Source organism: Homo sapiens, chromosome 11, assembly GCF_000001405.40.
Source record: "Homo sapiens chromosome 11, GRCh38.p14 Primary Assembly".
Taxonomy (NCBI): domain Eukaryota; kingdom Metazoa; phylum Chordata; class Mammalia; order Primates; family Hominidae; genus Homo; species Homo sapiens.
This window is the reverse complement of record NC_000011.10, coordinates 107,522,103-107,535,637: the sequence shown is the minus strand read 5'-3', so window position 1 is coordinate 107,535,637 and position 13,535 is coordinate 107,522,103. Positions and strand designations below refer to the sequence as shown.

The 13,535-nt window shown below is 34.8% G+C and overlaps 1 protein-coding gene across 12 annotated transcripts in view; it reads left to right on the top strand.

The window, feature by feature from the left end:
- ALKBH8 (alkB homolog 8, tRNA methyltransferase) overlaps positions 1 to 13,535 on the top strand; it is a 63,009-nt gene that overhangs the window by 30,098 nt on the left and 19,376 nt on the right. For 8 of the 12 annotated variants that reach the window (NR_165422.1, NR_165424.1, NR_165425.1 and 5 more), the window contains 3 exons: positions 3,232 to 3,338; positions 10,046 to 10,197; positions 13,083 to 13,339. Coding sequence is in view for 6 of the 12 variants with exons in the window: in NM_001378133.1 (NP_001365062.1) it covers positions 3,232 to 3,338; positions 10,046 to 10,197; positions 13,083 to 13,339 (516 nt within the window). In the remaining 6 variants the exon portion in view is untranslated. The other 4 variants (NR_165421.1, XM_047427871.1, NR_165426.1 and 1 more) reach the window with 3 other exon arrangements.

The window sequence follows — 13,535 nt, the reverse complement described above, 5'->3', positions numbered from 1 at the left end:
GTTAAGAATTTCAATCAGTGAGAAAAAAACAAACAATCATATCAAAAAATGGGCTAAGGACATGAATAGACAATTCTTAAAAGACAATATACAAGTGGACAACAAGCATGTGAAAAAATGTTCAACATCACTAATTATCAGGGAAATGCAAATCAAAACCACAATGCAATGCCACCTTACTCCTGGGAGAATGACCATAATAAAAAAATTTAAAAAATAAAAGATGTTAGCAGGGATGTGGTAAAAAAGGGAACACTTTTACACTATTGGTCAGAATGTAAAGTAGTACAACCACTTTGGAAAACAATGTGGAGATTCCTTGAAGAACTAAAAGTAGATCTGCCATTTGATCCAGCAGACCCACTCCCAGGTATCTACCCAGAGGAAAAGAAGTTATTGTACAAAAAAGATAATTGCACACACGCTTATAGCAGCACCATTTGCAATTTGCAAAAATATGGAACCAGCCCAAATGCCCATCAATCAACGAGTGGATAAAGAAAATGTGGTATATATAGACAATGGAATACTACTCAGCCATAAAAAGGAACAAAATAATGACATTCGCAGCAACCTGGATGGAACTGGAGACTATTATTCTAAGTGAAATAACTCAGGAATGGAAAACCAAACATTGTATGTTCTCACTCATAAGTGGGAGCTAAGCTATGAGGATGCAAAGGCATAAGAATGATACATTGGACTTTGGGGACTTTGGGGAAAAGTTGCGGGGGTGAGGGGTAAAGGACTACACATTGGGTACAGTGTACACTGCTCGGGTGATGGGTGCACCAAAAATCTCAGAAATCACCACTAAAGAACTTATCCATATAACCAAACACCACCTGTTCCCCAAAAACCTATTGAGAAAAAAAAAAAAGATGAGGAATGGTCAATTTGATACAGAAAAAGAAAAACATTTAGCTTATTTGGTTGTATATTTTTCCTCCTTGAAACTTGGCTTGTATATGCCAGGACAGGTGTTTCAAAATTAACTAATATCATGTTCATATATCTCTTGTGAGTTCTAATCACTTGTTTAAGCTGAAATTTTCCTATTTGAAAATCACTACTGTCCGTTGATGGGAGGGAATAAGTTTGAATTTCACAAATACGTATGTATTGTGCCTTTGTAAAACATGTTCAATATTAGCCAAAAAGTGTAACTTCTAGGTGGATATAGAGCTTGTCTCTCTTCACTCTTGTAGCCTTTGATATCTCACCAAACGATTAATAAAATTTGTCTAACAAATTAGAGTCTAGTCTTCTAGAATATTTTCCCATCATGACAGTTTTCATCTGGATATCTGGGCATGGATTTCCTTTAAGCCACAGATAATTGTCTCTAATAATAAATATGCTCATTATTCTTTCGAGGTGTGGGCCTTGGCTTCTATTAACAAAACTGAAACCTATATAAATTGGTTTAAAAAGAGGCCACTGTGGTTTTCCCATTTCCCCCCAACAATTTATTATGAATTTATTTATTTATTTATTTATTTTTTGGTGAGACGGTGTCTCGCTCTGTTTCCCAGGCTGGAGTGTAGTGGCGTGAACTCAGCTCCCTGCAACCTCCGCCTCCTGGGTTCAAGTAATTCCCCTGCCTCAGCCTCCTGAGTAGCTGAGATTACAGGTGCCCACCACTATGCCCGGCTAATGTTTTGTATTTGTAGTAGAGACAGGGTTTCTCCATGTTGGCCAGGCTGGTCTCAAACTCCTGACCTCAAGTGGTCTGCCCACCTCGGCCTCCCAAAGTGCTGGGATTACAGGCATGAGCCACCACGCTCAGCCAATTATGAATATTTTCATACAGAAAAGTTGAAGAATTGTACAGTAAATACTTATATGTCTACTAGCTAGATTCTACAATTAATATTTTAATATACTTGCTTTACCAAATAATCTAACCATCTTCTCATCCCTTTATCTGTTTATTGGTCCATCTTTTATGTATACATTTTAAGAAGGTTGCAGGTATCAATACACTTCATCTCTAAAAACTTCAGAATTAATCTCCGGTGTTTCGAATGCTTTCAGGGTATGACTATATGAAATTATATGTAGACATCTGGAACAGATAACTGTTAGGAAATTAAACTCTATCACATGACTTTATTTTCCATACTTAGATTGGAAGGATAGGTTAGAAAGGAAGAAAACTACTTTAGCTCTGTATACTTTTTTATAGTTTACAGAGAATTTTCATGTGTATTATCTCATTTGATCCAATATTACTATTAATAGTAATAGTAGCTACCATTTATTGAATGCTTACTTTGTACTAGGTACTATGCAGGTTTACCTTTAAGGAAGGTACTATGCTGAATTATTTTCGTCCCACTTACAGTTGGTTGTCATATCTATTTTTCAAATGGATTGATTTGTTCCCTTAAAAGAATAGTTTTCAGCCCTATAGTAAGCCTTTTAAGTTCATATTTGTCAGCTGCTGCTATTTTTAGACTGAAGTCTTTGGTTTTTGATGGGTTCCTAGGGCACAAGCATTTTCTTGGATATTTTGTCATTATAGGTTGCTATTCAGAATAATATTTGAGCATAACTTAGGAAAAGTTGCCGAAAATGTTCCTTTTTTTTTGATTGTCTCTTTATTAATCAGCCTCTAATCCCAGTATGTTACATTACTTTAAAGGTGCATTTAATATTTATTTCTTCTTAGATTATTAATTATTAATATTCTATGAATAATAAAAACAATAGCTAGTTTTTGTGTATTTATTATACTGTATGCCAGTTATTGTGATTATCTTTATAATTGTCTATATAATTTATGTAAAATACTGTAAGAGTTGAGAAGCAGAGTGGGGTTAAATGGCTTGTCCTGTGTCACGTGGCTAATAAATGGAAGAGCCAGGATATGAGTGTTTCAGCTCCAAAGTCCCTGTGTTTGACCTCTACTCTGCTGTTTTCTACGGTGTGATCCTGAGACCACCTGCTTCATAATTTCTTGGGGTGATTATTAGATGTGGAGATTTCTGAGCCTTACTCCAGACCTACTGATTCTGAATCTCTGTGGATGAAATACCTTTTTTTTGTCATTCAGTTGATTCTCATGTACAGTAAAGTTTGAGAACCACTGTGCTATGCTTTTCTGCAAGCATTATTATGTTTTAATCTCTGTTAGCCTAGAAAAATAGCCAAACTCTATTAATCATTCTTATCCTTGGAGTATATGAAATTTTGGATTGATCTTTATGCTTTTATCTTTGCTTCAAGATTGTCATGGATTTTAAGCACCCAGATGGCATTGCAGTGCCAGTTATGTTGCCTCGTCGGAGTTTGCTGGTGATGACAGGAGAATCTAGATACCTTTGGACCCATGGGTATGTATTGAAATATGACAGGATTCTTTTTCTTTATGAGACTTCTCATTCTTCTGTGTTTGAGCCACGGGGACCATGCCCTGTGCCTGCAGATTGAGGCTTCTGGGTTCAGAACTCCTAGGGGCATCTATCTAGTTTCGTTTTTGTTAAACATTACCTTTTTACTTGGAAAAAATTCTTAATTTATAGCAAACTTGCAAGCATAGTACAGTGAACTCCCTTCACCTTTCACCTTCATTTACTAATTTTGAATATTTGGGACATTTTTTATTTCTCTCTCACATATGTTATCATTATTATTTTTACTGAATCATTTTAGAGTAAGTTATAGACATCATGGCTTACTCTTCCATGCTTCATTGTGTATTTCCTAAGAACAAGGACATTGTGTATGTCAGGGATTGGCAAGCTATGGCTAGTGGGCCACATTCAGCTCTCAGGCTGTTTTTGTACAGCTCTTGAGCTAAGAATGGTTTTTACATTTTTAAAGGTTGTAAGACAAAAAAACAATGAAGAATATTTGACAGAGACTATGTGTGGCCCTCAGTGCCTGAAATATTCACTCTCTGGCCCCTTACAGAAAAAGTTGGCCAAGCTCTGTTCTATAAAACCACAGTGCAGTGCTCAAATTCAGGAAATTCAACATTGATAAAATACTCTTATTATACTCTTATACAATCCATATTCAAATATTGCTAGTTGTATGTTATAGTGCTTTAAGCATTCTTTCTGATCGAGGATTCAGTCTATGATCCCACATTATGTTTAAGTCTTGTCAATTCTGTTTAGTCTTTTATTTGAAAGAGTTTCTCAACTTTCCTTTGCTCTTAATAACATTGACTCTTTTGAGGAGGCCGGTTGTGTTATAGAATGTTTTGCAATTTGAGTTTGTTTGGTTTAATCAAAATCTAAAGAAATTAGTATGTGCTTCTGCTAGGGATACATCTCTAGCCTTTTGAGGAGAGACCATTACACTGCTGCAATTTACATATACTGTCCCTCATAATACTGCTGAGTTCTGTACTTATTAATTCTGTTCTGCTTAGAGATTTTAGCTGACATATTTTTATAAAAACTCAAGGAAATGAACATGTAAAAGAATTTATAACCTGTCCTAAATGTGAGCCATTAAAAAATGATGACCTGATTTTGTGCACTGGGGCTTAAATTTATGTGATTTTTTTTTCATGGCCATTAAAATATTTGCACTTAAAATAAAAAAAAATGATGATGTGATCCATTAATTTCAGGTCTTCTTATACTTCTGAGAATAATGACATTTTCTTTTCTGGGTTCAAGCATTTTTGCTATCACTAATGTTTAAACTTCTTAAAAGTAATAGTATTACTACAGCAAATACAAAATAAGAAATTACTTTTCATGGATATATTGTGAAAATATTTTAATCTATTCTGATAATGGTACAGGTTAATTTTCCTAAAACAACATTTGATCACATTATTGTCTTACTGAAAGCATGTTATGCTATTAAATGTTAATAGAGTTGTCTCTGGAAAGTTAGATTATAGGTAATATTTATTTTTAATGTTCGCTCTGGAATCAGAATTCTCTACAGTATTTTTAGGGGAAAAAACCCTCAGTATTATTTTTGAAGGCTGCCATTGATACACATTGCCTGTAACATCACTCTGTGTGTGTGTGTGTGTGTGTGTGTGTGTGTGTGTGTGTGTGTGTGTGTTAGGAAGAGAGAGAGATGGGGAAATGGGGGAGAGAGGGAGGGAGGGAGGCAAAGAGACCAGAGGCAAGAAAGAGAGAGAGAGAGAGATAACCAATGATACACCAATCATTGAGATGTTTATCAGAATCTTTGGGTGGAAAAGAGAATAGATTGGAAAAGCATATTTGATACACTTAAAACATGTATAAATAACAGGAAATAAGCCTTGATAAAACTTTTTGATTTCTATGCTGAAGAAACAAAAGCACTAGAAAGCATTGTAGAGGGACATGGATTGAAAAAAGTTAACACTGCCTTGTAATTTTAATTCCAGATACCTCAATCTAACTTTTATTTGTTCAAGTTCAAATTTACTATTCTAGCCATCATACCTTAAATCAAAGGTGGAAGACGGGCAGCATAGGGGTAAACTTAACAGTCAGGTATTTTCTATTTGGCTGATGCAATAGTTGTCCACATGGTGGCAGTTTATTTTTTTCAGTTTTCTACATATAAAAATTAGGAGTTTTCACATAAAAATTTGAATTTTCAGCTTCTCTTGAAAATTGAGAAGATCTGATAACATTGAACCTTAGTATTGCTTGGCAGCAGTACCTGAAACTGTGTGTCACTAGCATTCTTTAGGTGGGGGCCTACTTCTCTAGTTCCCTACAGTTCCTACCCCTTTCTGTTACTCCCTGATCTAAGGCTGAGCATCAGTTGTCATTTAACACTGTGCTTGTACTATTGTTTTTATCTTAGAGTTACATGAAAATTGAGTATTTCTTGAACTCGTGTCTGTATTAAAAGTAGGAGACAGGGCCGGGTGCGGTGGCTCATGCCTGTAATCCTAGCACTTTGGGAGGCCAAGGCGGGTGGATCACAGGTCAGGAGTCCGAGACCAGACTGGCCAATATGGTGAAACCCCGTCTCTACTAAAAATACAAAAATTAGCCAGGCATAGTGGCGTGTGCCTGTAGTCCCAGCTACTCGGGAGGCTGAGGCAGGAGAATCACTTGAACCCGGGAGGCGGAGGTTGCAGTGAGCCAAGATCGCGTCACTGCACTCCAGCCTGGGTGACAGAGTGAGACTCCATATCAAAAAAAAAAGAAGTAGGAGATGGAAAGCTAGCCTGAATGAGAATGTATGTTTCAAGAAAAATGGCACAGAGCACTCTGCTTTTTTGAAATGAAAATTAATCCTATGATAAACAATATATTTCTAAACAAGTTCACCTGTTTCATTTATTTATGCCATCTGACTGGCCCCAGGAAGCATTATTTCATGAGATTATGTGAATGCTCCTTTTAAATTATTTCTGGAGCATTTTCCTTGTGCCAGGCATTGTTCTAAAAACTTTACATATATTAACTCATTTAATTTACACAATCATAGTGGGAAGTTTGTTCCATGGTTTTGTCCTTATTTTTGAAGGAAATTGGAGCATAAACAAGTTAAGTAACTTGTACAAAGTCACGAAGCAGTAAGTCGCAGAGCCAGGATCAGAAGCCAGGCACTCTGGTTTCAGAATCTGTGCTCTTACCAATGATATTATGGCTAAATTTGTTTGCTCCCTTTTCTCTTATCCTGTACCTTCTAACCTTCACACATTTGCCAGCCCTGTATCTGTTAACATATAGCTCTTTTACTTCCTTCATAATTTATCAAGTTTTCCTGACTACATAAACTTGAAATAATTTATTCCTTATCTTAACTTTTAAAGTCTGTATTGTTTCCTACTACCTTGAGATGTCTCTTCTATTATATTGAACTATTATTTAAATCTATAAAACTGTTTTTATATTCTTATTGAATATTGTCCCAATTTGATTATAATTTGAGTGCAGGGGGAAAAAGATGTTTAGCAGTATTTAAATAAATCATTACTTTAACATATGGATTACCTGTTCTTAAACATTTGAGATTGTTGGAAAAGCAGTTAGGAACTCCTTGGCCTTTGCTTAAAGTGTAACTTTAGGCAAGTGAAGTAATTGATTTAAAAGAACCATAATAGAGAATGATTTACTCTTCAAAAGAGGAATTAGCTTGCTAACAAGAGCTTCAAGATACTTATTCCTCTAAAATACCTTGACTTTGTTCACTACCATAGTTTTAATCATGTATAGCTCTTAGAACAAAAGTAATGTAAATTTGGGCAATGATTGCTTTTTTTTGCCTCTACAAAATTGCCTTTAAGACAAGCTTTTTAAAAAGAGCCACCTGCACGTTGTGCACATGTACCCTAAAACTTAAAGTATAATAATCATAATAATAAAAAAGCCATTCTCCTACTTTGTTTTATGAGGCTGGCATTAATTACCCTTGACACCAAAACATGTGAAAGACATTAAATAAAAGAAAATTACAAACCAACATCTCTCATAACAGAGATGAGAAAACCCATAACAGAACATTCGAAAGTCAAATCCTGCAATATACATAAAAAGAAAATATAACCTAGCGGAGTTTATACCAGTATTTCAGAGTTGGTTTAGCATTTCAAAAATCAATGTAATTCATCACGTTAAAGGAATAAAGGAGGAAAAGCATAATCATCTTGATTGATGCAAAAAGTATATTTGACAAAATTTAGTACCCATTCATGATAAAGCCCGGCAAACTAGGACAAGAAGGGAACTTCTTCATTGCGTTAAAGGGTATTTATGAAAAACCCACAGCTGACATCATATACTTAATGGTATTCTATTGAACGTTTTTTCCAAAGATATTGAACAAATCAGGGATGTCCGCTCATACTCCTTCTATTTAATGCTATATTGGATATCTTAGCCAGTATGAGAAGTCAAGAAAAAGAATTAAAAATCATAAATATTTGAAAGGAAGGAGTAAAATTCTTTATTTGTAGATTACATTATTGTGGATATAGAAAATCCTAGAGAATCTACAATACAAGTTCCAGAACTAATAAGTGAATTTAGCGACATACAAGGTCAATATTTAGAAATTAATTTTTAGAAGATGAAATAAAAATGCTATTTAAAATAGCATCAAGACTCATAAATATTTCCTTTCCAGTACTCAGAATTAATTTATTGAGATGTTGTTTAAAAAGCAATTAGCCTGAGAATTCTGTTTCTTACAACAGATGGAGTGAAATATGGCAATGACAAAATGAAAGTTGAGAATTGAAATACATTATGTTTTTCATTTTAGGATCAAATCCATCTTAGGTCGACGTTTCTCTTTCTAGATCACCTGGCTGTTATTATAGTAAAGAGGTATCAACAACTTAAGTAAAAAATTATATTTTTATATAATTTGCTGAGATCCTTCAGGATTAGCACATTCCCTGCGAATATGAAGCCCACTTCCATAGAGAGATAACCTTGCCTGGAGTAAATCAAGAAGATCTGAGTCTTAGGAATAAGTTTTTAAAAGATATGCAACACACATAGACTGAAAATTCTAGAAAAATTATTGCTATCCCTAGGAAACTTAATGTGGTTAATATATCAGTTGTCCCCAAAATCTATGGAGACAGTGTAATTCCAGTCAAAACTCTAGAAGGCTTTTCTTTTTTTGACAAAATTGACAAACCGATTCTAAAATTTATAAGGAAATGTGATTGTCAAAACAATCTTGAAACAATGTTAGGGGATTTATTCTGCCTGATTTTTAAGACTTACTATATGGCTATATAATCAAAATAGTATTGTTGTACAGATAGACAGATAGATCAGGAGGACAGCATACAGTCCAGAGATAACTCCATACATACAAGGTCAGTTGATTTTTGCCAAAGATACCAATGTAATTAAATGTGGAAAGGAAATTTTTCATCAGATGGTGCTGGAACAACTGAATATCCATATGGAAATAAAATGAACCTGAATCTATCTCATACCATTCACAAAGTTAATGTGAGGTAGATCATAGATGTAAATGTGAAAGCAAAAAGTGTAAAATGGTCTAAAAGAAACTTTATAAAAAACTGTTTTTGTGACCTTGAGGTAGCCAAAGTTTTTTTAAAGAGAGATTTCATAACACACTATTAAGAAATAATAAATTAGACCTCATCAAAATTAAAAACTTCTGCTCATCTAAAGATACCATTGAGAAAACGAGAAGGCAGCCACACATGGAGAGAAAATACCTGCTATTTATTTATGTTTACGTCTATATCTGTATCTATCTGTATCTAACAAGGAATTGGGCAAAAGGGTTGGACAGATCCTTTATCAAAAAAGGATCTATGTGTGTCTAATAAGCACATGAAAAGATGTATAGCATCATTAGTCATTAGATAAATAATAACTTAAAACCACAATTTCATACCACATGCCACTCACTAAAATGGCTAAAATTTAAAACTCAGAAAATACCAAGTGTTGGTGAGAATGTTAACTAGCCTGGAACTCTCTCATATATTGCCGGTTGGAGTGTAACATTTTACAACTACCTTGGAAAACTAGAAGTTTCTTACCTTATGACCCACCAATTTCACTCGTTATTACCTGTTAAAACCCACCAATTTGACTCCTAGGTAGTTACCCAAGAGGAATAAAACTATATATCCAAAAATGATGTGTATAAGAATGTTCACAGAAGCTTTATTTGTAATAGTCCCAAACTGTGGACTTGTAATTACCATGTAGTTATTTTTAATTTTTAAAAATCCAGTCCAGTAATCTTTGTTCTTTAATTGGAGTTTTTAATACTTTTACGTTTAATATATTACTGATAATGAATTTAAATTTACCATCTATTTGTTTCCTCTTGGCATCATCTGTTCTTTTTTGTTTTTTTTAGAATTGGTGTTAATTAAATATTTATTTTATTTTCCCATGGAATAATTTGTTGTACATTCTTTTAATATTATTGTCATGAAGATAATTTCCTTAAATACCTTTATTTCTTTGTTTTTCCACAATGTCTAACAATTCAGGGAATCCAATAGATATTTGTAATAAATTCTTCTAGATTTTCTCTATTCACTTAACATTTTTAAAGGCCTGAAATATTTTTATTAATACAATGTTAAGTAAATTTTTTTGACTATTGTTTTTAGAATCACGTGCAGAAAATTTGATACTGTTCAAGCATCTGAGAGTCTTAAAAGTGGAATTATCACCAGTGATGTTGGAGACTTAACTTTAAGCAAGAGGGGACTACGAACATCATTTACATTTAGGAAAGTGAGGCAAACACCTTGTAACTGTAGTAAGTATATACTCTTATCTCGTCTGTAAAATGGAGTCAGTTTAATATAAAAGTCCTTTAAGGTCCTGTCAACACCTAGGAGAGCTTTTTCTGAATCTCTCTAATGGCATTTCCTGTATTTTGCCTTGTATTGCACTTTCATGCACTTTTCTTAACGACCCTCATTAGAGTTTACATTCTTTGAAGGCAAGGGTCTGCATCTTCTCATCTTTATTTTTTCCAAACTTAGTACTTGAGTTGGGTGCCCAATAAATGTTTTACTTATTGAAGTAACAGTTAAGAGTGCTACAATTGAAGGGCAATAAAATATTACTTGTTTAAAAACGGGTATTGTTGGGAATGGTTTGTCAAGTTTCTAAATTATATCTTATTAATCCAACAGGGAAGTTGGAGATGACAAATTGTTCTATAGTACATAACTCTAGGGAGATAAGCGACAGTTTATGTTTTAGTCAATTTGAAAACTCAGAAGGGAATAAAAACTGCTCAAAAACTTGTCAAGAGGATGCTATTTTGAATCGTCTGTACAAGTACATCATGTTCTGGATTTCTTTGACTCAATTAACAGACACCTCTTTCATTTTGTAAATAATATTTTGTAATGATAGTAATAATAAAATCCTTTTTATATCTTGGGGGTTTTAATTATGGGTGGTATCTACCAACAGCTTTTGGATTTAGTCATAATCTTGAAAACATTTAATTAAAAACTCTTACTATATCTACAAAATGTTATGCTTTTAGAAAACTTGAAATTTCTATATTTTATATCCTGATGTTACTGAAGCTTAAAAGAGCTTTTTATTTTACTAAAAGTGTCCTTGAAGCCTTAAAATATCAAATTTTAAAAGTTAAATTTAAAATGTTTATTATTTGATGAATATTGAACATTGCAGATAGTGAGTTACATGGTATAGAAAAATAAAGCATGGCTCCTGTTCTTAAGGAACTTAAAGTGTAGTTGGAGAGACAAGCTAGTTTTCTTATGCAAATGTTTATCATGGGCATTTATTAAATGTAAGAAGCTGTTATTGGGGATTCAGTTTACAGATTTTTTTTTAAGATGAATAATAATTGTGGCTGGCACAGTGGCTCATGCCTGTAATCCCAGCACTTTGGGAGGCTGAGGCAAGAGAATTGCTTGAGGCCAGGAGTTCAAAATCAGCTTGGACAACATAGGAAGACCCCCTGTCTGCAAAAAAATAAAATCAAAATTTAGACAGGCATGGTGGTGTGTGCCTGTAGTCCTAGTTACTAGGAAAGCTGAGGCGGGAGGATTGTGTGAGCCTAGGAGTTTGAGGCTGCAGTGAGCTATGATCGCGCCACTTGCACTGTGGCCTGGGTGACAGAGCAAGACCCTGTCTCAAAACGAAAAAACAGCAACAGAAAACCCCCCAAATTATAAATGTTTATCATGTACAACATGATGTTTTAAAATACATATATATTGTGGAATGGCTCAATTGAGCTAATTAACATGTATTATTACCTCACATACTTATACTTTTTTGTGATGAGAACACTTAAAAATTTATTCTCGGCTGGGTGCGGTGGCTCACACCTGTAATCCCAGCACTTTGGGAGGCCAAGGTGGGCAGATTATCTGAGGTCAGGAGTTCGAGACCAGCCTGGCCAACATGGTGAAACCTGTCTCTACCAAAAATACAAAAATTGGCCAGGCATGGTGGCACACGCCTGTAATCCCAGCTACTCGGGAGGCTGAGGCAGGAGAATCACTTGAACCCAGGAGGCGGAGGTTGCAGTGAGCCGATATCATGCCACTGCACTCTAGCCTGGCCAACAGAGTGAGACTCTGTCTCAAAAAAAAAAAAAAAAAAGAATTTATTCTCATAGTGATTTTCAAGAATACAATATATTATTATTAACTATAGTCACATGTTTTACACTAGATCCCTGGGACTTATTCTATCTCACTGAAATTTTGTATCCTTTCATTAGCATCTCCCCGGCTCCCACCCCAACTGCTCCAGCCCCTGGTAACCACCATTCTACTACTCTCTATTCTGTGAGATCAGCTTTTTTTTAGATTCCATATATGAGTGAGATTGTATAGTATTTGCCTTCTCTGTCTGGCTTATTTCACTTAACATAATATCCTCTAAGTTTATCCATGTTGTAAATGGCAAGATTTCCTTCTGTTTGTGGCTGAATAGTATTCTGTTGTGTATATGTACCATATTTTCTTTTTCCATTCATTCACTGATAGGCACTTTGATTCCATGTCTTGGCTGTTGTGAATAGTGTTGCAGTAAACATGTGAGTGCAGATGTCTTTCTGACGTACTAATTTCATTTTCTTTGGATATATACCCCATACTGGGATTACTGGTTTATAAGATAGTACTTATTTTTAATTTTTTTTTTTTTTTTGAGCAAGGCAGAGAAGGGTTTTATTGAGTGACAGAACAGCTCTTGATACGAGAGGGGATTGAACCTGAAGTGGGTTCTGTGTGAGAGGGGGCCCGAAGGCAGGTAGTCCCCTGTTTCTAAGTTTTTGAAGAACCTCTGTACTGTTTTTCATAATGACCATTCTAATTTACATTCCCACCAACAGTGTGCAAGAGCTCCCTTCTCTTCTTATCCACACCAACACTAGGTATTTTTTTGTCTTTTTTTAAAGACCGTCTTGCTCTGTCACCTGTGCTGGAGTGCAATAGCACGATCATAGCTCACTGCAGCCTTGGCCCCCCAGACTCAAGCAGTCCTCAGTAGACTTATTAGGGAAGAACTTTTTCTTTTAACGGATAAATCAGAGTCTGTCTACCCACCAAATTTGCATTGATTTTTTTTTTTCATTTAAGAAAACTTGATACCTTATGAGTTATTCTGATAAAAAGGAAAGGTGTGTATTGCTTTTTCATTAAGGTTACCCGTTGGTCTGTGATAGCCAGAGGAAAGAGACTCCCCCCTCATTTCCAGAGAGTGATAAAGAAGCCTCACGGCTGGAGCAAGAGTACGTCCATCAGGTTTATGAAGAGATTGCTGGGCACTTCAGCAGCACAAGACATACCCCTTGGCCGCACATTGTGGAGTTTTTGAAGGCTTTGCCAAGTGGTTCAATAGTGGCTGATATTGGATGTGGTAATGGAAAGTATCTTGGCATCAATAAGGAGTTATATATGGCAAGTAATGTTGCTTTTGACTTTCTTTTTGCTTAATTTGCAGTGGTTATCATCATCTTTCTTCCTCATGATATAATCCTGTTTTTTTAGATCATTGCCAGAAAGTTATAACCAACAGATTGAAAATTAATGATTTTTTTTATTCTTTCTTATTCCTCTAGGAATTTATGGGCACACCATCATTATATAATTTTTT